The sequence below is a fragment of the Homo sapiens genome, chromosome 3 (assembly GCF_000001405.40).
Source record: "Homo sapiens chromosome 3, GRCh38.p14 Primary Assembly".
NCBI classification, from domain to species: Eukaryota; Metazoa; Chordata; class Mammalia; order Primates; family Hominidae; genus Homo; species Homo sapiens.
In genome coordinates, this window is record NC_000003.12 from 38148276 (window position 1) to 38171445 (window position 23170).

The 23170-nt window shown below is 41.2% G+C and overlaps 1 protein-coding gene and 1 long non-coding RNA gene across 14 annotated transcripts in view, besides 9 other annotated features; one reads left to right on the forward strand and one right to left on the reverse strand.

The window, feature by feature from the left end:
• Positions 6835-7336: an enhancer, noted in NCBI's record as "H3K4me1 hESC enhancer chr3:38196601-38197102 (GRCh37/hg19 assembly coordinates)". NCBI's record gives its function as "activates a minimal SCP1, AML or CMV promoter by ChIP-STARR-seq in naive H9 embryonic stem cells {active_cell/tissue: H9 hESC(naive)}" and the evidence as "EXISTENCE:reporter gene assay evidence [ECO:0000049][PMID:30033119]".
• On the reverse strand, positions 7774-17201 carry LOC101928234 (uncharacterized). Of its 8 annotated transcripts, none has more exons than XR_940733.2 (5): positions 17122-17201; positions 14673-14722; positions 11222-11282; positions 8796-8875; positions 7774-7985 (listed from the first exon to the last, which is right to left on the reverse strand). It is a non-coding gene; the product is annotated as an uncharacterized LOC101928234 (long non-coding RNA). The 8 variants fall into 8 exon arrangements; XR_245208.4 differs by having other exon boundaries at positions 8796-8936; XR_940731.2 differs by having other exon boundaries at positions 11222-11321.
• The window catches only part of OXSR1 (oxidative stress responsive kinase 1), a 91422-nt gene continuing 84039 nt past the window's right edge, over positions 15788-23170 (forward strand). For 4 of the 6 annotated variants that reach the window (XR_007095781.1, XM_011534331.3, XM_017007601.2 and 1 more), the window contains exon 1: positions 15788-17239. Coding sequence is in view for 5 of the 6 variants with exons in the window: in XM_011534331.3 (XP_011532633.1) it covers positions 17011-17239 (229 nt within the window). In the remaining variant the exon portion in view is untranslated. Of the gene's footprint in view, positions 17240-17261; positions 17672-23170 lie in introns of those variants that run through there. The other 2 variants (NM_005109.3, XM_047449386.1) reach the window with 1 other exon arrangement.
• Positions 15937-17136: an enhancer, noted in NCBI's record as "CDK7 strongly-dependent group 2 enhancer chr3:38205703-38206902 (GRCh37/hg19 assembly coordinates)". NCBI's record gives its function as "activates an origin of replication core promoter dependent on BRD2, BRD4, P300/CBP, MED14 and CDK7 cofactors, with strong dependence on CDK7, by STARR-seq in HCT116 cells {active_cell/tissue: HCT116}" and the evidence as "EXISTENCE:reporter gene assay evidence [ECO:0000049][PMID:35650434]".
• Positions 16297-16376: an enhancer, noted in NCBI's record as "active region_19682". NCBI's record gives its function as "activates an Ori minimal core promoter by ATAC-STARR-seq in GM12878 lymphoblastoid cells {active_cell/tissue: GM12878}" and the evidence as "EXISTENCE:reporter gene assay evidence [ECO:0000049][PMID:35858748]".
• Positions 16527-16656: an enhancer, noted in NCBI's record as "active region_19683". NCBI's record gives its function as "activates an Ori minimal core promoter by ATAC-STARR-seq in GM12878 lymphoblastoid cells {active_cell/tissue: GM12878}" and the evidence as "EXISTENCE:reporter gene assay evidence [ECO:0000049][PMID:35858748]".
• Positions 16927-17026: an enhancer, noted in NCBI's record as "active region_19684". NCBI's record gives its function as "activates an Ori minimal core promoter by ATAC-STARR-seq in GM12878 lymphoblastoid cells {active_cell/tissue: GM12878}" and the evidence as "EXISTENCE:reporter gene assay evidence [ECO:0000049][PMID:35858748]".
• Positions 17267-17656: a silencer, noted in NCBI's record as "silent region_14205". NCBI's record gives its function as "represses an Ori minimal core promoter by ATAC-STARR-seq in GM12878 lymphoblastoid cells {active_cell/tissue: GM12878}" and the evidence as "EXISTENCE:reporter gene assay evidence [ECO:0000049][PMID:35858748]".
• Positions 17267-18035: a biological region, named in NCBI's record as "NANOG-H3K27ac-H3K4me1 hESC enhancer GRCh37_chr3:38207186-38207801".
• Positions 17420-18035: an enhancer, noted in NCBI's record as "NANOG-H3K27ac-H3K4me1 hESC enhancer chr3:38207186-38207801 (GRCh37/hg19 assembly coordinates)". NCBI's record gives its function as "activates a minimal SCP1, AML or CMV promoter by ChIP-STARR-seq in naive H9 embryonic stem cells {active_cell/tissue: H9 hESC(naive)}" and the evidence as "EXISTENCE:reporter gene assay evidence [ECO:0000049][PMID:30033119]".
• Positions 17707-17756: a silencer, noted in NCBI's record as "silent region_14206". NCBI's record gives its function as "represses an Ori minimal core promoter by ATAC-STARR-seq in GM12878 lymphoblastoid cells {active_cell/tissue: GM12878}" and the evidence as "EXISTENCE:reporter gene assay evidence [ECO:0000049][PMID:35858748]".

A 23170-nucleotide genomic window follows, 5' to 3' on the forward strand; every position in this document is an offset into this window, starting at 1 on the left:
CTTGTAATCCCAGCTACTTGGGAGGCTGAGGCACGAGAATCACTTGAACCCAGGAGGTGGAGGTTGCAGTGAGTCGAGATTGTGTCACTGCACTCTGGCCTGGGCGACAGAGCGAGACTCCATCTCAAGAAAAAAAAAAAAAAGATGTTGCAGTACGGTAGCTCTGTAACTTGATTTTGGTGGTGGTTACACAAATCTATACATGTGGTAAAATGGCATAGGACTCTACACACGTGTTATACCAAGGTCAAGTTCCTGGTTTTGATATTGTACTATAGTTATGTAAGATGTATTCATTGCAGGAAATTGTGCTGAGGATATAGGAACTTCCCTGTACTATTTTTGTAACTTCCTGTAAATCTACAATTATTTCAAAATAAAAAATTCAAGCAATTTTTAATTTAATATAATTAATATAGTTTAATATTGTATTAATATTAAATTTTATTTAATTTATTAATTAATAAGTTAACATATAAGTAAAATTTGTTTTGAGATGGGGTCTTGCTCTGTTGCCTGGGCTGGAGCACAGAGGCATGATCATGGCTCATTGCAACTGCAACCTCTGCCTCCTGGGCTCAAGCAGTCCTCCCAGTTCAGCAACCTGAGTAGCTGGGATTACAGGTGCAGACCACCACACCAGGCTACTTTTTTTTTTTTTTGGTAGAGACAGGGTTTCACCATGTCACCCAGGCTGGTCTCAAACTTCTGGGCTCAGGTGATCCACCCACCTCAGCCTCCCAAAGTGCTGCTGGGATTATAGGCATAAACCACTGTGCCCAGCCAGAAGTAAATTTATTAATATTGATACTGAAGTTTGCTAATATTTAATAATAATATTTTATATAAATAACATAAAATTAATGTTATTTAAATATTTTAATTAAATATATAAATAAAGTAGAAACAAAAGCCCCTGGGTGCTTATGCAATGACCAAAGCTTAATTTTCCATCTTGTTTTTTAAAGGAAGAATATTTTTCATTATAAAAGTGATCACTGATAACTATATTTATGCATATGTAAAAGAATATGTATTTTCAACCGCAATTTCATTTTATGTTGAAAAAATTGACCAACTTGGCTTTTGAGGACCTACTTATTATATTGGTCCAGGTCAAAAGCAGAATATAAAGCTAAGCTAGGCATGGCTCTGTTCTCAAGAAACTTAAAACCCAGTGGAATAATTGAAGCACAAACACAGAAGATCTGAAGAACTCAAGAGTTAGGCAACAGAGTCCTCCATAACATATGTGCTGGCTGGTGCCAAAGACAGTATGTCCTACAAGTCCTGCAGACAGGCCTCTGTGGGACAAAGGTCTTGAAAAGATGACCTTTAGGGGCTTTGGAAGGTGGTAGAATTGGCAGGTAGACACCAAGAGGGGAAGGAGATTCAAGCAGTAAAGAAATAATTTAAGCAGAAGGGGAAAGTGAGAGGCATATTTAGGAGCAGGGAGTAGACTGGTGGGATAAGACCCTCCAGGTTCAGTAGGAATGACTGGGGGCCCTGGAACTCAGGCTGCAACAGGGAGCATGGATCGTGTCTGGTTAGGAAGGAATTGTTAAAACCAGAGTGTGGAGAAAATTAGTTTAGTGGTCGTACGCAAGACAGATTAGGGAAGTTGATAAGCACAGTAGTAGTTTCTGCTTCAGGCAGCTGCTCAAACAAAAATGAGAAATGAAGTGACTGCTGGATAGGAAGGAGAATCTGGAGTCTCCAGAATTTCCTCCTTCCTCAGATCAAATGGCCCATTCCAGTGTTCCTTGTCCTAAACACTCATGCATTAATTCAACTTGCAATGACCTATCCCTGAGGTCATGAGGGTGGGCCAAGGCCAAGGACATATGAGATAGGTCTCATGTGGCTCTTGTTAAAGGAGATTACTCTGGTTGCTTATCCATAAGTGAAAATGAATGTGTTTTAAAAACAACAACTTCAGCTGCTTCAGGTGTTACCTCTTTCTAAAGCAGGGCTATCCAACAGAAAGATATTCTGAGCCACATACATAATTGAAAAATTTCTAGCAGCCACATTAAAAAAAGTTGTAAGAAACAGTCAAAATTAATTTTAATAACATATTTTATTTAACCTAAGGATCTAAAATATATAGAATATATGTAAAATATCATTTACATAAAAATGTCATCTCTAAAATATTATTTCAACATGTAATCAATATAAAAACTATTGATGAGATTTTACATTGTTTTCACATTGAATCTTAAAAAGGTACTTTGTGTGTATTTTACAGTTACAGCACATCTCAATTTGGACTAGCCACATTTCAAGTGCTCAATCACTACATATGGCTAGTGGCTACTATATATTGGATTGTGCTTCTAAAGAACGCTGCTACTCAAAGTGTGGTCCCTGGACCAGTAATATTGACACCATTTATTAGAAATAAAGACTCTCAGGCCCTACTCCAAACCTGACTCATACATTCTGTACTTTGATAGGAGCCCCAAGTAATTAATAGATATAGAAAGGTTGAGAAACGTTGCCCCATGCATTTGGGAAGAGAGACCTAGGATAATACAGTGTTTTTGGCTACCCACCATCAACATTCCATCTCCTCATTTAGATTCCACGCCACGATTTCCCTCCAGACACAGACCAAAACCAAAGAGCACCTCTCTTTTTTTTTGAGCACTATGATTGGTTCAGGTATGTCATGTGACTTGAACAGATTCAGTGAGACACAATGACTCCTTTGGTAGCTCGACTGTGATTGAATGTAAAAGGTTTTAAATTCTGGAGAGTGATGGGAGGAGAGCCATCATGCTCCAAAGTGGCTCCAGAATTTATATTTGTGTATGAAGGTTTATGTATGAAGCCTGTAGAGAAAACCAGATACTGAAGACATCATGTGAGCCCCTGCTTCAAGACTTACTGCCAGAATTTTCAGATATGTGAGCCAGCAAATTCTCTGTTTGTTTAAAATAGTTTGAGTTGTGTGCTAGATATTATCTGTCTTCTCCTCCACATCTTCCCTTGTTCTCCACCAGCCTCTGTGCCCCAAGATAATGACCTTCAAGGATTACATCAACAGGCTCCCCTTGCCCACTGGTTTCCTGTTGGGCTTGGCCAGTAGGAGGCACCAGTGGGAGATCAGAGAGCAGAAAGAGAATGAAGTGAGGATATTTATTCCCTTGGCTCTCTTCTTGTGGGATTGCTGAGGACTGATTACACCTCTCTACAAAAGGCTGCAGCTACTTTCAGGCAGTCTTCTCTCTCTCCTACTTTCTCTGCTTCTAGTAGGCCTTAGTCCTCTTGCTCTGTCAGGCCTAGGAATGATAATGGCTCCTGGAGGTGGTTGGCCCTAGAGTACTGCACTATTCCATTTGGTTTCCCTATTCCCTGCCCATGACTTTGCATGGCTCTTTGCACCAGGCTTTGTGACCCAAGGTATTGACCGGCTCCCCTTGTCCACAGGTTTCCTCTTGGGCTTGGCCAATGGGAGGCATCAGTGGGAGATCAGAGAGTAGAGAGAGAATACTTCCTTTATTAAACTGTCCTCAAATTGTCCATTTTGAGTGTGCCATTTGTTTCCTGTTAGGACCTGACTGGCATAGTAATTGGTATCAGGAGTAGCCTGGAGCCAAGCCCAGCTGAGTCCAACTTAGATCAGCCAAATACAATCTGATCTGCAGACACTTGAACAAGAAGTAAATGCTTAATGTTATCTACCACTGATATTTTGTGGTTGTTTGTCACACAGCATCTTTGTGGCAATAACTAACCAACGCCCTTTGTATGGTCATATGATTAAGTTATGAGCAATGGGATGTAAGAGGAAGTGATATGTTCAACTTTTAGTCTGTGACCTCAACAGAAAGGTGTGTGCCTGATATTTTCAAAACCTACCCATCTCATGCTGCAGAAATGTGGGTGTGGTGGTGGGAGCTGGAAGCTGCATGTTGAGGATGGCAGAGATGAAATCGGTAGAGCCTGGGTCCCTGACACTACAGAGTTGAACTACCACTCAGGACTGCTTACACTCAGACTTTTATGTCAGAGTGATTTCTTTCCTTTTTTTTTTTTTTTTTTTTTTTTTTAGGCAGGGTCCCACTCTGTCACCCAGGCTGGTGTGTGCAGTGGTGCAATCTCAGCTCACTGCAAGCTCCGCCTCCCGGGCTCATGCGATTCTCCTGCCTCAGCCTCTTGAGTAGCTGGGATTACAGGTGCACACCACCACACCCTGCTAATGTTTGTATTTTTAGTAGAGACAGGGTTTCACCATGTTGGCCAGGCTGGTCTCGAACTCCTGAGCTCAAGCAGTCCATCCACCTCGGCCTCACAAAGTGCTGGGATTACAGGCAAGAGTTACGGTACCCAGCCAAAGTGAAATGCATTTCTATCTGGCCAATGTTACAGCAAGAATGCTGGCATCCTAATGAACTTTGGGTTTTCTGTCACGAGCAACCGAGACAAAATGGGTTTGTTGCAAGCCCCTTGCAGTGCTCCTGCAACCCCAGTCCCTCCATGTCCACTGATAGTCTGCTTCCTGTTCTGCTGTGGGTTCTGCCCACTTTGCTGTTGAACACTGGGCCCATCTTTAGTCTGCCCTGAATCACTACTGCTCCTGTCACAAGGGCTCCCTTTCCTGCTCTACCAATAACTGTGTGGGTGTTTCCAGCTTCACTGAAGGACTAGCTGTAACCAGACAATTCATATGTCTGCTCTGTAACTTAAAGCATAAAAATCATTAGAGTAGGTATGCACATTTATAACTCAGAGGTGAGAAGACAATGTAGCTTCTTTGTTTTGCGTAATTTAATCTTTTGCATGCACCCTTGCCCTGCTGGGTGGGAAGGGGAAATTTAGCTTGCCAATTAATAATATTATCAGATTTTTTTGGTGTCGTTGTGGGTAACTTGATCACTCTTAGGCAAATGCTGTTTTTTAGGCCTCCTTCCCTTCTCCCTTCATCTTGCCAAGATGGTGTCTGGGAGTTTGGGAAAGAGAAGACTCACGTGACCTTGTGGTAGAAAGAAAGAGTTGCCTTGGATCTCTGTGAGCAGGTCCTTGTACTGTCCTCTGGCTCTGGCATGGAGTGCCTGACCTGATTTGATTCCTGACTTGCTATGTGTCACCTGCTGAGATGCAGCGGGCCTCATCTGGCCTTAGGAATGTGATGCCAGCATCCAGCACTGAAGTCTATAGTTCCAACCATTTTCTTTCAGTCACTAAGTCTCACCTCTGTAGGCTTTCATTCCAACTCTCTGTACAGGCCTCCACAACACCTCCCCATGCCTTCATGGGGCACAGGAAGCTCTTTTTCTATCTAGGATTTGAAGGGGTTAAGTTTTTGGGCAGGGCATTCTGTAGGACAGTTATATGTAATTCTATGTCAATATTACACTCATGCTCAACTAGACACTGCAGAGCTAATTGAATTAGCATTTACCTAAGAGAGACCAGGTTACCCATAATAGGAGGATAACGTCTTCACTGCCTGCTGGATGGGGTCCACTGCCATTCACCAGGAAAACGGTGCCAGTTCTGGGGGCCTAGGCCCCTTTGGACACTGGAAAATGATCTCTTTAGGTAGATTGCTCACAGCTGTGCACACGGAGAATCGTTCATAAATATTTGTGAATTGCATTTGATCGAGACTAAGGGGCACTTTAGTTCCCATTTCCTGATGTCTTAAAAATTCCAATTCAAAGCTTACACAGGCAGAGCCCTCTCTAATTTTGGTAGACCCTGAACCCTAATTCATTTGTTCAGGTTGGGTACAAAGCAAAGAAAGCTTCACAATCCACTGGGAATCAAATAGAAAACTTCTATTTCCTTAATCAGATTTTGCAATAAGAAATTAGGCAGTGCCATGGGCAAGCAATGATGCAGCAGTGGTATGGTGTGAATGACATCACACAGATGTCTGTTTTTCCTGTTTTTCCTGAGTAAGCAGACCTGAGTCAAACCATTCAGCATTGTTGCCCAATCTTTGTCTCTGTAATGCTTCATTCTATTTCCATCAACCTATAATTACTGGCTATCCCTTATTCAACACTTAAAATAAGCCAGGCACTGTGCTAAGCATTTCCAGGAATTTCTGGAGCAAGTTTCTTAACATTTCTGAGTTTTCTCATCCGTAAAACTGGCATAAAACTTCACAAGGCTATTTTACTGATTAAATGAGGTGTTTATATCCCTTAGCGTGTTGCCTAGCACTTAAATCTAATGGCTGCTCAGGGCTTTTTATCTGAATTCATGTTATGAAAGTAGGCATTATATTACATGCTGTCTGAATCTATTCAGCTCCTGAGTTCAGAGAGTGGGGGATACCAAGTTATCTGAAAATAAATATGAATATTCAGTTCCTGGGTTTAGATAGTGATGGTACCTGTAGTTTTGAATGTTTTATAAATTATAGCTGCCTCTCAGAGATACTCCTGCCCAAGGCTGAGAGTTGAATAGCATATTTTATGCAGATTTTCCTAAAAAGGGGAGAAAATCAGCTCTTCATAAGTTTTCAGACTGTCATTATGCTGACAGGACTTAAGGTGGGCAAAAAACGAAAACCCCAGAAAAATGCCTTACTTCCTTTCTAGTCATAGGGTATTTCCACTCCTCACAGGGGACCTACAACCTAATTTGAAATACAGAATATTCACAAAAAGAGAAGACTATGGGTACATGGCACCACAGGCTAAGTACCCAGAAATGGTCTGAGGGAGGTGGTAAGCATATACAACTGCCCTCAGGGCTGGAACAATCTCAGAAAAAGCATTCCAAGGGATGTGGGTGGAGCAGGGAGGGTGGGTCATCAGTTGAACCGGGCAGAGCAGGTAAGACCTGGACAGGTGGAGCCAAAGAAAAGTGGCATTCCTGGAAGGAGTAATAAGCTGAGCACAGGGGCTGAAGGAGGCACAATGAGACCAGGTGGGAATGGAGCATGTTGGTGTCTCCTCAGAGTGAAAGAGAGGAAGGGCTGGGGTGGGGGTGCCATAAACACTGGTATTACCTGAAATATGAAATCGAATTTAAATTTTGAAACATACTTAGAAAGAGCACATGAATATTTATGAATAGTTGAGCATGTGTGTACCCATCATCCAGGTTTAGAAATAGAACATGACCCGTATCTTTTAAGTCCTCCGTGTGCCCTATCTGGGCTGCAGCCTTCTCCTTCCCCCTAGAGCTAATCACTAACTTGAATTTTTTTTATTGTCTCCTTGATTTTCTTAAGCATCTAATACAGAAGTTTATTCAATTGTACTTTCTTTGATCTTTCTGTGAATGCAACCATACTCTATTAATTTTTCTGTTACTTTGTTTCTATCAGCATTGTTTTGTGTGTGCCTGTGTGTGTGTGTTGGGGGGTGGTTGTTTTGTTTTTCAGGCAGTCTCACTCTGTCGCCCAGGCTGGAGTGCTGTGGAGTGATCTCGGCTCACTGCAACCTCTGTCTCCTGGGTTCAAGCGATTTTCCTGCCTCAGCCTCCCTAGTAGCTGGGATTACAGGCGCCTGCCACCTCGTCTGGCTTATTTTTGTATTTTTAGTACAGTCAGGGTTTCACCATGTTGGCCAGGCTGATCTTGAACTCCTGACCTCAGGTGATCTGCCCATCTCAGCCTCCCAAAGTGGTGGGATTACAGGTGTGAGCCACTGTGCCCGGCCTGTTTTGGGATTCATCTATATAGCTGTAGGTAGATTCTGCTGCTGTATAGTGTCCATTGTATGAATACTTTTACACTCTATTTGGGTGATTTCCTTTACTTAGCCATTACAAAACCTGCTGATGTAGGTATTCTAGTATATATTATTTGGGATACAAGTACAAAAGTTTATTTTGATTGTATACCAGGAGTGGAATTGCTGGGTTGTAGGGGAGGCACAGGTTCTACTTTGCTAGGTAATACCAAACTGTTTTCCAGGGACGTTGCATCAATTTTCATTCCAACTAGCAGAGGATGAGAGTTTCTGTTTTCCTCATCTTGGCCAACATTTAGTATTCTCTGGCTTTTTAGTTTTTACCTATTGGTGAAGGGTCAAGTTATATCACGTTAGTTTTAGTTTGCATTTTCCTGATTAACGCAGCTGAAGTTTATGTTTATGGGCTCCCAAAATATTTCTGTGGAATCAATCTTGGAGAATTGCTTTCAGCAATTTAAGCCACGTTGTATTATTTGGTATTTCTCCTTATAAAGAGCTCAAACAATACACAGAAAGCAAATGTGTGTTGCACCTCCATGTACCTTCCAGAACTTATTCTATATATTTACATACAGGTAGAAATTGAATTTATTTTACAAGTTGCTTGTTTACCTTAATATAGATCATCCTATTTCAGTATGTACAGTTCTACTTCATTCTTTCATTTTTTTTTTTTTTTGAGACAGGTCTCACTCTGTTGTCCAGGCTGTACTGCAGTGGTGTAATCATGGCTCACTGCAGCCGAACCTCCCAGGCTTGTGATTCTCCCATCTCAGCCTCCCAAGTAGCTGGGACCACAGGTGCACACCACTATGCCCAGCTAACATTTGTATTTTTTGTACAGACGTGGTTTTGCCATGTTGCCCAGGTTGGTCTTGAATTCCTAGGCTCAAGCAATCTGCTTGCCTTGGCCTCCCAAAGTGCTAGGCATACAGGCGTGAGCAACTGCACCCAGCCTACTTCATTCCTCTAACTGTTGTGTAATGTTTCATGGTATGGATGAACCATAATTTTACCAGTCCACACTTTCTCAATTAAGCAATTTTTTTTAACAAGTAATATGGATTTATGATATCCAAAATGTAAAAAAGGATATATCCCTCCCACTCCTTTTCCTCAACAAGTTATTACCTTTGGCCTGGAGGCAGCCAAAATGAGCATTTGTGGTGGAAATTGGCTAGATGCTCACCAATCCCATCTGTTTCTTCTTCCTGAGCACACAGAAGCCATTTCTCAGTTTCCCAGAGTTAGGTTGGAGTCAGATGACTTGGTCTGACCAATACAATATGGGAAGAGATAACAGATACAGCTGAATCTTGGCCCACTTTGTGGTGTTCTGTCTCTCAACTGACTGGCTGGCTGAAGGCAGAGGATCCAGCAAAGACTCCAAGAAGGCCCCAGAAGATGGCGGTGCCACAAGATGGAGACAGCCAAAATCTCTCATTCTCCTCTTGAAGGAGAGGGACCAGAGACCTCTGCACTGGACTTTATGTGTGTGAGAAAAAAGCTTTTGCGTTAAGCCATCCAGATTTTTAGGTTGTTGCTTCAGCTAGCATCAATTACACTAATACAGAAAATGTCTTATGTGTCCTGAGATGTTCCACATAATAGACACAAGCAATTACCAGTCCTCTATCAAAGAACAAATAGGCTGTTTCTAAATTTTCTCTATTACAATAATGCCACAATAAACATCCTAATTAATTGGGTTTTCAGACATATTAAACCTTTAAGAGTGTTTGAAATGTTGCAGGCACTTAGGAATCTGCTCCACCCCAGTCAGGTATTCCCCATCTTTTGCTCAGTTCAGCTTGAGCTCATCTAGTTGGCATGGTGCCAGCCTGGGAGAACCTGAAGCTCCTTTCTGGCTCAGAATCCGGCTTGATGATGAGACTGTACTTTCTGCAAGAACAGATTTTTTTTTCCCACAATAACATTTATACATATGCATTTTTGCGGGCCTTGAGTGTCCATCACTTTAGACATTCATTTCCTGGGACTGCCAAGCTGTCAGTTTTTCACCAGGCTCCAGACTCCTAGCTTGCGCATGTCTCCTCTACTCTCACACTTCATCTGTTTAATCAACACCACGCCTGAATGCATGCCTCTGCAGGGTACTATTCCAGGTACAAAGTGAAAAGCACACCTAAGGGGGTTTGGTTGTTGTCATCCTCCCATCACATTAAGTGTGATATGTGATAAGAGATAGATGGGAGGGAATACATTCTAGCAGTCTATAATTGGTCCTGGTACTGACGTGAAACTGCTGAGAAAATCAGCTCAGGTCAGAGGTATAAGGTTGTGCTTTTCTTTATATTCAGGTTTCTCACATAGAGTACACATTAATTTTTAGAATATAATCAAAGGAGCCTATAAAACTTGAATTGTTACAGCTGTAATTCTCTACTTCAAGACATCACTAGTCTTGAAATCAGTCTTTTTTCCTCTATTCTGCAGGCACTAAAAGCAAAGCCCAATGCAAGTAAGTTGCTTAAGGGTAATAAAGTAAGAGGAAGAAGCATGAATATACTTTTGTTCCCCGTTTCTCAGTTCAGTGAGTCTCAACTTTTGGGTTTACGCACAGTAGCAGATGCTGTCTATACTGAGCTCATATCCTTTGGGCCTACTCTGGAGTTTGCTATTAGAGAGTTCTAACACAAGAGAAGGACTGCCTGTGTCTGCATGAGTGCATTCTCCGACCTTAGGAGCGTGCTTTTCCAAGCACTGAGCTGGGTAGAGGTGCAGGAGTGTTAACACCCTAAAGAGGAAGGGAGTTGGTGGGATAATAGCTCAGCTTCCTTGCCTCTTAGTGAGACGATTCTGAAGAGTGTTCCATAGTTTCCCAGATGGCTCACAGGAGGATTAAGCCTGGTTGCCCACACAGTGACCCCTTATTAATGCACCCTTAATGACTATCCTTCCTTTCCTGTCTTACTTCTCCACTCCTTCAAAAGAGGAGTTGCCTCTTGGAGTCACCTTCTAAACAAACTATTTGTACCCAAATCCTGGTCTCAGAGTCTGATGTTGGGGGAATCCAAACTAAGACAAGAGTTCCTTTGAAAATGTAAGGAAAAACAAGGTCCCTCTCCTCCGGAAAATATGCCATACTTCCAAGAAACCTAGGTAGGATTTGGTGAAATTCTGATAAAAGGGCCACGGTTCCAGAATCATCCTACCTTCCCTCTTCCCCCATCCCCTGAAGACTACTGACAGAGCTATACACAAGAAGCAGCATCATAATATAATAGGTATAAAAGCATTTATTAAAAGCTTCAAAAGTGCCCCAAATCCCCACTGTACCCTGTTTAAAATACAATTGACCCTTGAAAAATGAGGACATTAGGGTTACTGACCACCTACACAGTCAAAAATTCATGTATAACTTTGGTTACCCCAAAACTTAATTACTAATAGCCTACTGTTGATTGGAAGTCTTACTGATAACATAAAGTAGATTAACACATATTTTGTAGTTATATGCATTATATACTGTATTCTTACAATAAAGCTACAGAAAAGAAAATTTAAAAAATCTAAGGAAGAGAAAATATATTTACTATTCATTAGGTGGACGTGGATCATCACAAAGGGCTTCTCATTGTCTTCACGTTGAGTAGGCTGAGGACAAGGAGGAAAAGGAGTGTCTGGTTGGTCTTGCTGTCTCAGGGGTGGCAGAAACAGAGAAAATTCATGTATTATTATGAGTAGACCCCATAGTCCAAACCTGTGTTGTTCAAGGGTCAACTGTACTCACCACATGGCTGGCTTCCTAACTATTCTCTGTCACAGTATCCTTGCCTTTTCCTACATGATTTGCTTAGTTGCTTACTGTTTTCTACCAGACTGTTCCCTGAAAACAGAAACTGAGTCTGCTTTGGTCACCACTGTATACTCAGTGTTTATGACAATACTCTCTTTCACATGGAAGGTAATCCATAGGCTGAGAATGAGGTTGAGGTTTAGATTTCTGGCCTCAAAGAGCCACCAATTCCTTGCTCATTAAAATCACAGGATCCTAACCTCTATCAGGCTACATGGAGAAAATCAAGGAGACAGGATAAATGAAATGAGCAGATCTGCAGAGCTGGTTCTGGCTCAACTAATCCATCAAGCTATGTGTGTGGAGGAGGCAGAACAGAATCCATTGGTGACCCTGGCTGCCAAGAACATGGGCCAATTAACATCTTGAATTTTCACTATTAGATTAGTAGCTCCTTTTCACTGGGGAAGGGGAAATAAGGAGGAAGGTTGCCAAAATCTCTCCCTGAAGTATATCCTATTATATTTATATTATATATATTTAATATATATAATATATATTTCACATATAATATATATTTCATATAGTATATATATTTCATATATTATATATATTTAATATATAATATATATTTCACATATAATATATATTTCATACGTATTTCATATATATTTCACATATATTATATATTTCATACGTATTTCATATATATTTCACATATATTATATATTTCATACGTATTTCATATATATTTCACATATATTATATATTTCATACGTATTTCATATATATTTCACATATATTATATATTTCATACGTATTTCATATATATTTCACATATATTATATATTTCATACGTATTTCATATATATTTCACATATATTATATATTTCATACGTATTTCATATATATTTCACATATATTATATATTTCATACGTATTTCATATATATTTCACATATATTATATATTCATACGTATTTCATATATATTTCACATATATTATATATTTCATACGTATTTCATATATATTTCACATATATTATATATTTCACACGTATTTCATATATATTTCATATATATTATATATTTCACACGTATTTCATATATATTATATATTTCACACACATTACTTATTTCATATATTATATATTTCACACGCATTACATATTTCATGCATTCTATATATTTCACATGCATTACGTATTTCATGCATTACATATATTTCATATGCATTACGTATTTCATGCATTACATATATTTCATATGCATTACGTATTTCATACGCATTACGTATTTCATGCGTTACCTATATTTCATATGCATTACGTATTTCATGCATTACATATATTTCATGTATATTTCATGTATAATATATTTCATGTATATTTCATGTATATTTCATATACTATGCATATGCATTACATATATTTCATATGCATTACGTATTTCATATGCATTACGTATTTCATGCGTTACCTATATTTCATATGCATTACGTATTTCATGCGTTATATTTCATGTATATTTCATGTATAATATATTTCATGTATATATTTCATGTATATTTCATGTATATTTCATGTATATTTCATATACATATTTCATATACTATGCATATTTCATATACATATTTCATATACAATGCATATTTCATATACATATTTCATATACAATGCATATTTCATATACATATTTCATATACAATGCATATTTCATATACATATTTCATTTACATAATATAGTTCATATATTATGTATATTTCATTTACATAATATAGTTCATATATTATGTATATTTCATTTACATAATATAGTTCATATATTATGTATATTTCATTTACATAATATAGTTCATATATTATGTATATTTCATATACATGTCATATATTATGTATATTTCATATACATATGTCATATATTATGTATATTTCATATACATATGTCATATATTATGTATATTTCATATACATGTCATATATTATGTATATTTCATATACATATGTCATATATTATGTATATTTCATATACATATGTCATATATTATGTATATTTCATATACATATGTCATATATTATGTATATTTCATATACATATGTCATATATTATGTATATTTCATATACATATGTCATATATTATGTATATTTCATATACATATGTCATATATTATGTATATTTCATATACATATGTCATATATTATGTATATTTCATATACATATGTCATATATTATGTATATTTCATATACATATTTCATATATTATGTATATTTCATATACATATTTCATATATTATGTATATTTCATATACATATTTCATATATTATGTATATTTCATATACATATTTCATATATTATGTAATTTCATATACATATTTCATATATTATGTATATTTCATATACATATTTCATATATTATGTATATTTCATATACATAATATATTTCATATATTATGTATATTTCATATATTATAGATTTCATATATATTATATATTTCATATATTATAGATTTCATATATATTATATATTTCATATATTATAGATTTCATATATATTATATATTTCATATATTATAGATTTCATATATTATATATTTCATATATATTATATATTTCATATATTATAGATTTCATATATATTATAGATTTCATATATATTATAGATTTCATGTTATATATTTCATATATATTATAGATTTCATGTTGTTTCATATATGTTATATATTTCATATTTCATATATATTTATATATAGTATATATACTTCATACATATTGTCTATATTTCATATATAATACATATATAATTTCTTTTTTTCTTTTTTGAGATGGAGTCTCACTCTCTGTCGCTAAGGCTGGAGTGCAGTGGCATGATCTTGGCTCACTACAACCTCTGCCTCCTGGGTTCAAGCGATTCTCCTGCCTCAACCTCCTGAGTAGCTGGGATTACAGGCGCCAGCCACCACGCGTGGCTAATTTTTGTATTTTTAGTAGAGATGGGATTTTACCCTGTTGGCCAGGCTGGTCTCGAACTCCTGACCTCAGGTGATCCACCTGCCTGGGCCTCCCAAAATGCTGGGATTGCAGGTTTGAGTCACCGTGCCAGGGAGAAAAAAACAAAACAAAATAAAACAAAACAAAACAAAAACAAAACTGAAGTATGTCCATGGGTCATACAACTCAACAACCCCAAGCCAAGAATTTCTGGTTTGTAGACCTTTCTATTGGTACAAACCTTGAGGCTAATTCTTACCATCAGATTTAGCTCCTTTCTGATACATTTGATCCCCATCCCTCTCCTCCCTGCAAAAAGAAAAAGGCAGAACATATGGTAAAGAAACTGTCAGTAGTAATGGCTGAAAACCACTTACAGCAAGGCCTGTGCTATGCTTTCTGGAACTGCGGCACCTTTGCTGAGCCTGGACTATTCTATCCTCTAAATGTGCACCTGTTGAAATCATGTTAACTTTGCAAGATCTGGTACAAATGCTACCTTCTTCATGAAACGTTCTCCAATCCAACCAACTAGGTGGAAACCCGCTAGTAGCTTCTAGTTGACTGGTTTCATGGTCAGTTGGACCTCCCACAGCAGAGCTCAGCGCAGAGCTTCCAGTGCTTGGCGGTGTTTTAGAACCAAACTAAGGTCTACTTGCCCAGTGCAGTGACATTAGATTGCCACACGGAGGTTTTGCTGCAGTAGAAAGGCAGGGCGCCTAGCAAGAGGGGAGAATTAGTGTAGCTCAAGCTTAATATATATATAAATATACATTATATATAATACATATTTCATAAACTTATGAAATACATACTGGGGACCTAAACTTCCTGGCGTGAGCCACCGCGCCCAGCCAAGCATTCTTAAAGATAGGGGTAATTTCGGAAAAGAAGAAGTTACAGGTAAAGTCATAAATCAATACACAGAGGTTATACATTGGTTTGACCTAAAAAGGGGGGACATCTCCAAGCAGGAGCCCACAGGTCATAGGTGGATTCAAAGATTTTCTGATTTGCGATTGATAAAAGAGGTGAAGCTTTGTCTAAAAATTTCGGATCAGTAGAAAAGAATGTTAGCTACAGCTTGTGGGCATGACCTTCTTCAGGAAGAAGAAACTTAGAGAAAAAACAAACCACCAGTCAGAGTTCAGTCCTTAGCTCCCCATTCTCTGAGGTCTATGTGCCAGCAGATCCATTTGGTGGGGGTCTGGGTTTCTAAAAAACAACTCAGGGACATGTGTTGATGTTATCTTTAGTTTTTATAGGGAACCAAACATCCAGTTATTTTAGTTTCTTTGGCTAATGTTTAAAGTTATTACTGCCCTCTTGCTTATCAAGGGGTTCATTAACTTTTCAAGGCTAGCTAAGTGCCGGGAATTTCTCTTGAAGTAACTCAAGATTTTCCTTTATTTCCATGGTTGAGGGCCTGCAGGCCCTAAAAGGGGTCCCTGCTCCGTCTCAGCTGGGCCTAGGTGAAGGTCTCTTCCTTTTTCTGAGACGGTGTCTCCGTCTGTTGCCCAGACTGGAGTGCAGTGGCATGCTCTCGGGTCACTGCAACCTTCGCCTCCTGCTTCAGCCTCCCTAGTAGCTGGGATTACAGGCGCCAGCCACCACGCCCAGCGATTTTTCTGTATTTTAGTAGAGAGGGAGTTTCACCATGTTGGTCAGGATGGTCTCGAACTCCTGACCTCAGGTGGTCCGCCCGCCTCCGCCTCCCAAAGTGTTGGGATTACAGGCGTGAGCCACCGCACCCGGCCTAAGGTCTCTTCCTTAAAGACTGCCGTTGGACTGAAAGGTGTCCAACCTAGAACAGTTTCGCACCTAGCCCTATCCCTGTTGGATGCTCATTATTTTTTAAAATCCAATTTACCAAGCGTGTTCAGTCTTCAGCTCGCTAATTTCTCTAACGGCCGTACGTAGTCAAACTGAGAAAACTGTTCAGTGGGGGCGACAAAAGCCAACGCCCGTGAGACAACCCCCAAATCCGTGGGTCGATCTCACTTGTTTAATACCCCAAGCCCTGTCCGGGGGGAAGAAAGACAACCTCCCGAGTCCCTCAAGGCAGGTGCTTATTTGAGCTTCAGATCTAAAGCTGCGAATGGACAGAACCCGCCCAGTGCAGGGTGGACCCGCGAGAGACAGCGCCGCGACAAGCGTTAGAGAGAACGTCCGCCTTGAAAAAAATGTCACCAGGCAAACTTCCAGTTTCACTCCGACCAGTGGCCCAAGGCCTTTTATCCTAGTTGGCAGTGGTCCACACCCAAAGGCTACCCCACCCAGCCGCTCCCTCAGGGTTTCTCCACACCCTGTAGAGCCTTTCGCACGTCTCGAGGGTGTGACGGTTACGCCGTGACGTCACTCCAGAGGAAGTGGTAAGACGAGCGCGGTAACGGAGCTCTTGAAGGGCTGCAGCCCTAACACGGAGAAGCGCGCTAAGAGCCTGGAGGCGGGACCAATTTATGACTGACGTCTACCCACACCCATTGCTTTTCTGATTCCTTCTCAAACAAACCAATGAATGCGACGACGGAGACAGCAGCGTGCCCCAGGCGCTAGAAGTGGCTCTGCCCCTTCTACTTTGCTGCCCTTTGGTCGCCATGCTTAGTGTGGCTACTGCCTCTGTGCTACTTGAGGCTCTCCTACGGCTTTTCGATGCCTTCGATGAACCTCTACCTAAGCACTTCTTCCCTTTCACCGCGAACTCCTACCTTCTCGGGTTTCTAGCTTGCTCACTTTACATCCAGCCACACTGGAGATGGCGGCCGGAGGCGGGCCCGAGGTGGGGCGTGACCAGCGCAGTGACGTCAGCGCGCTGCGTGTCGGCAGGTGGAGGAAGAGGGGAAAGTTTGGCCCGTGCGTGGGGCTGGGGTGGAGGGCGGGACAGAGGGGCTGGGCCCAGGCAAAGCTTCTGTCGCTGCTGCTGCGGAGGCCGAGGACAGGACGTGGGCTGGGCCGGGCAGTGCCGGACTCGGAGGAGCAGGAGGCGAGGTCCGCCGGAGCTCTGAGCCCCCGCTGCTCTGCCGCGCGGTGACCCCGCGCCCCGGCGCCGTCCGACCCGTGGCTGTTCCGAGACGATTGGTGGGGGCGCGGCGGCGGCGGCGGCGGCTGTTGGGGGTGGGGAGACGCGCGGCGAGGAGACGAGCGAGGTCAGCGAGTTTGAGGGAGGACCGCGAGCCGCTGCCGCCGTCATGTCCGAGGACTCGAGCGCCCTGCCCTGGTCCATCAACAGGGACGATTACGAGCTGCAGGAGGTGATCGGTGAGAGCAGGCGCTGCGGAGGGGGGAGGCGCGGCGCTGGGAGGCGGGGGACACGGGAACGTGGGGAGCCGCGGGAGCTCGGGGAGCGCAGCCCTCATAGGAATTCGTGGGGCGCTTGTGGGGCTGGGGGCTTGTAGGACGCTTGTGTCGAGGAGCGCGTGTGAGACGGGAAGGGGGTTTTGAGGCGCGCGCCTGTGAGGTGGCGTGGGGTGGGGTGAGGCTTGAGGGGGCTCAGGAGAGATTTGTGTACAGGATTCTCAAATGTGTGGACAGGAGCGGCCCATGTGTCTTGTAGAGAAAGAAAGTGCAGGTGTGGGACAGGCCTTTCCGAGGCTGTGTGAGAAATGGGATCTTGAAGTGGGCACAGCCATCGATTTCTGGGATTGTGGGATAGATAGGGAGCTTTAAGTTTTTCCTCCATCCGTGCTGGGGCGAACTGGGGATCCTCCAGGTGAAGCTGCAGGAACCGCGCTGAGCAACCGAGACCCAACTTACGACTCCTTCCAACTGACTTTCCAGTCGGGGAGGTAGACATTAAATAAGAAGACAAAAAGAAGTAAGAAGGGCTGGGCGTGGTGGCTCACGCCTGTAATCCCACCACTTTGGGAGGCCGAGGCGGGCGGATCACGAGGTCGGGGGTTCGAGACCAGCCTGGCCAATATGGTGAAACCCCGTCTCTACTAAAAATACAAAAATTAGTTGGGTGTGGTGGTGCGCGCCTGTAATCCCAGCTACTCGGGAGGCTGAGGCAGAAGAATCCTTGAACCCGGGAGGCGGAGCTTGCAGTGAGCTGAGATCGCGCCACTGCACTCCAGCCTGGGCGACAAACCCTGACTCTGACTCAAAAAAAAAAAAAAAAAAAAAAAAATTTGAAGAGGCTTTGGCAAGTGCCATGAAGGAGATAAACAAGATGTTCTGATAGAGAATAACCTGGAGATCTACTTAGGGTGATTTCAAGGAAAATTCTTTTTCTGAGGCGATAACATTTCAGTTGAGCCCTGAAGCATGAGAAGTGAGGATTAAGAGCCTCGGGAAGATTTTTCCTTACAGAGGGATATAGAGATGCAGTGGCCTTGAGTAAGGGAAGAGCTTGATTTGTTTTAGGACCTGAAGGAAGGCTGGCAAGGATAGAGAGGGAAGGGAGGAGCCAGATCTTAGGGATCTTCTCAGCTTTGGTACAGATTTTGGAATTTTAAGTATCACTGGAGGCCCTCAAATAGTGCCTTGACGTGATCCGATAAATTGGGCTGGTGTGTGAAAAGATTTGAAGGGGGTCCAGGAATACCAGTTGGCAGAGACCAAAACTTGCACATAGATTGTAATTCTCACAGAAGCCTAGGGATTGGGAGGAGGCTGGGGACTGGGGATGAGGGGAGTATTTGTTGGACAACAATAACCCAGTGACCTTGGAAATCAAAATGTTTAGCTATACAGGCTCAATCCAACGGACATGAGCAGACACCTGTGTATTGGAGGAAGGCGAATTATCTGCTTTGCCAGCATCCTGCCCTAAAATTAGTTTTATAACAAAGACCAACTGAAGACTTCCTAGCTGCCTTGGGGGTGTCAGTGTTTATTTCACTGTGGGTTTAAAAAGAACTTCGTGAAATAATTTTTGTTTTTACTTGCCTCTTGTTTTAAGACAATCTGGGCTTAAAGCAATATTGGTTCGTATAGGAAAAACAAAAACAAAACAAAACAACTCGGACTAAATAAAGACATCACATCTTTGCTTAAGCCACTTCATGGGCCTGTGTCCTTGCTACATATTGGGTCTTTGACATGTATTCGTTGGTTCTAAAGACAGCTAGTTCCCGGTCTGGACTGATTGCTTCTGGTTCCCCCAGTCAGAGTTTCATATTGAAGGAAAGGATTAAATGGAAGATTCCAAAATGATGTCAGAGAAGTAAAGAGGAGGTTCCCTATCATCATTTTAAAAGAAGAGTTTTTTTTTTTTTTTTCTGGTAGTGTATCCATCTTTCTAGGGTGAAGAGGATGGTTGTAGTCATTCTCAAAGCCTTTGCTGTTAAGGTGGCAGAGAATTTCAGAGTTGCAAAGGCGCTAGAGATTTCGTGATTTGTTAATTTGGTGTCCTCAGACCCATAGGATGTCTGTGAGTGGGCAAAAGGGAGTCTCTCAGTCTTCTGGATAGGGTTAGTGTTCCTCACATTCACAAAGTGGTCCATGGTTTTTAAAAGGTTAGGAACTCCAATGTGATTTGACCATCTTTCATAGATTTAAAACAACTTTACTGAGGTATAATTTAATATAAAATTCACCCATTTTAAGTGTAACATTTAGTGGTTTTTAGTAAATTCCCTGTGTCGTACAACTATCACCATAATCCAGTTTTAGAATATTTCCATCATCCCCGTGAGATCTCTTGTGCTTTCTTACGAGTTAATCCCTTTTTCCACCTCCAGCCTTAGACAACCACAAATCTACTTTTTGTCTCTATGGACTTGCCTTTTTTGGACATTTATATAAATGGGATCATATAACATGTGGTCTTTCATGTTTGGTTTCTTCCACTTAGCATAAATATTTTTTCATTTAAAAAAACAATTTTGAGATATAATTTACGTACCATAAGATTTACCTGATTAAAATGTACAATTCAATAATCTTTTAGTAAATTTACATAATTGTTCAGTCATCACCACAATCCAATTTTAGAACATTTCCATCATTCCAGAAAGATGCCTCATGTCCATTTGCAGTTACTCCCTGTTCCCACCCCCAGCCCCAGGCAATCACAAATATACTTTCTGTCTCTATAGATTTGTCCTTTCTGGACATTTTATGTAAATGTAATCATATAATATGTGGTCCTTTGTGTTTGGCTTCTTTTACTTTCCATAATGCTTTTTGAGGTTCATCCATCTGCCATGTAGTACATGGTTCCTTTTTATTGGATACCAGTTAATGGGCATTGGATTGTTTCTGCTTTTTGGCTGTTTGGAACAAGGCTGCTTTGAGTATTCACATCAAGTCACCCCATGAATATGTTTCATTTTTCTTGGATGTATACCCAGGAGTGGAATTGCTGGGTTATATCACAAATTCAACTGTTTAAGAAACTGCCAAACTGATTTTCAAAGTAACTGTACCATTTTATGTTCCTACTAGTAATTATAAGAGTTCTTGTTTCTCTAAATTTGTTGTCTTTTTGCGTGTAACCATCCTAGTGACTATGAAGTGGTATCTCATTGTGGTTTTGATTTGCATTGCCCTAATGACTAATGATGATGAACATCCTTTCATGTCCTTATTTATTAGACTTTCATGGATCTTCTTTGGTGAAATATCTATTCAAATCTTTTGTCCACTTGGACTGCCCATTGGGTTGTTTTTTTTTTTGTTTGTTTGTTTGTTTTGAGATGGAGTCTTGCTCTGTTGCCCAGGCTGGGGTGCAGTGGTGCCATCTCGGCTCACTGCAACCTCTGTCTCTTGAGTTCAAGCAACTCTCCTGCCTCAGCCTCCTGAGTAGCTGGGGTTATAGGTGCCTGCCACCATGCCCAGCTAATTTTTGTGTTTTTAGTAATGATGGGGTTTCACCATATTGGGCAGGCTGGTCTCAAACTCCTGACCTCAGGTGATCCGCCTGCTTGGCCTCCCAAAGTGCTGGGATTACAGGGGTGAGCCACTGCGCCTGGCTGTTCGTTTTTTTTTTGAGTTATAGAAGTGTGTGTATGTGTGTTTGTATGTGTATTCATTCTGGGTATGCGTCGTTCATCTGATATATGATTTAATTTAAATATTTTCCTGTCTGTAGTTTTTTTTTTCTTCTCATTTTCTTTCTTTTTTTTTGAGACAGTCTTACTCTGTCACCTAGGGTGGAGTGCAGTGTCATGATCAGGGCTCACTCCACCTCCTGGGCTCAAGTGATCCTCCCACCCCTGCCTCCCAGGTAGCTGGGACTACAGGTACATGCCACCACGTTTGGCTAATTTTTGTGTTTTTTGTAGAAACTGGGTTTCGCCACATTTCCCAGGATGGTCTCAAATTCCTGATCGCTCAAGCGATCTGCCTGCCTCAGCCTTCCAGAGTGCTAGGATTACAGGCGTGAGCCACTGCGCTTAGCCTTCTTTAATTTTATTATTATTATTTTTTTTTGAGTTGGAGTCTTACTCTGTCGCCCAGGCTGGAGTGCAGTGGCATGATCTTGGCTCACTGCAACCTCCGCTTCCTGGGTTCAAGCAATTCTCCTGTCTCAGCCTCCCAAGTAGGTGGGATTACACATGCGTGCCACCACACCAGGCTAAGTTTTTGTATTTTTAGTAGAGACTGGGTTTCACCATGTTGGCCAGGCTGGTCTCGAACTCCTTACCTCAGATGATCTGCCTGCCTCGGCCTCCCAAAGTGTTGGGGTTACAGGTGTGAGCCCCCGCGCCTGGCCTCTTTCATTTTCTTAATGGAGTCTTTTAAAGTACAAAAGTTTTGAATTTTGATGTTTATCATTTTTTTCTTTTATTGATTTTGCTTTTGGTGTTGTATCTAAGAAATCTTTACTAACCCAACATTGTGAAGATTTTTTTTTCCTGTTTTTTTTTAAGTGTTAGTTTTAGCTCTTGCATTTAAGCCTCTGATACATACTGAGTTAATTTTTGTGTATGGTGTGAAGTAAGGTGAACCACCTTGTTTTACAGTTGAAGACACAGAGACAGAAAGGTAACATGACTGCTTAAAGCCATGTAGCTAATTAGAGGCAGAGCCAATACTGGCATCTGTGTCTCCTGTAGCCTAATTCGGGATCCTTGTTCCTGTATCTACATTGATTCGTTCTTGGATATAAACTGGAAGATGGGGGTCATTGTCTCACAGATTAAGGGAATGATCTCCCCTGCTTTTTTCTGAGAAGGGTCTCACTCTGTCACCCAGGCTGGAATGTAATCACAGCTCACTGTCTCACTGTATGAACTCCTGGCTCGAGTGATCCTCTTGCCTCGTCCTCCCCAGTAGCTGGACTACAGGCATGTGCCACCATGCCCGCCTCATTGTTTTATTTTTTTGTAGAGACAGGGTCTCATATGTTGTCCAGGCTGGTCTCTACTTCTGGGCTCAAGTGATCCTCCCACCTTAGCCTCCTAAAGTGTTGGGGTTTACAGGTATGAAGCACTGTGCCTGGCCAAGGGAAGTATCTATCCTTAGAGTGAAAAAAATCTGATGGATGTTCCACACCTGTCACGTCCTTCCAGTCTGCTCCTGACAGCCTCTCTCCATTTTCCCAACAGGGAGAAAAAAAATTTTTTTTCTTTGAGCTACAGCCTAGTATAAGTAGCAAGTTTCAGTAAAGCATTGTATTCTTATTCTAACTTTGCTTCCATACCAAAATGTTTGTTACATAGTATTTTATAATAAGCTATAGTCTTCAAAATGAATCTTTATGATTTCAGATTACACTCAACTTTTTCAGGAAACACATGATTAAAATCTAGAAAAAAGGGTTTGGGATCATTTAAATTTTGTTTTCAAAGGATTGTATTCTAGAGAAATCAG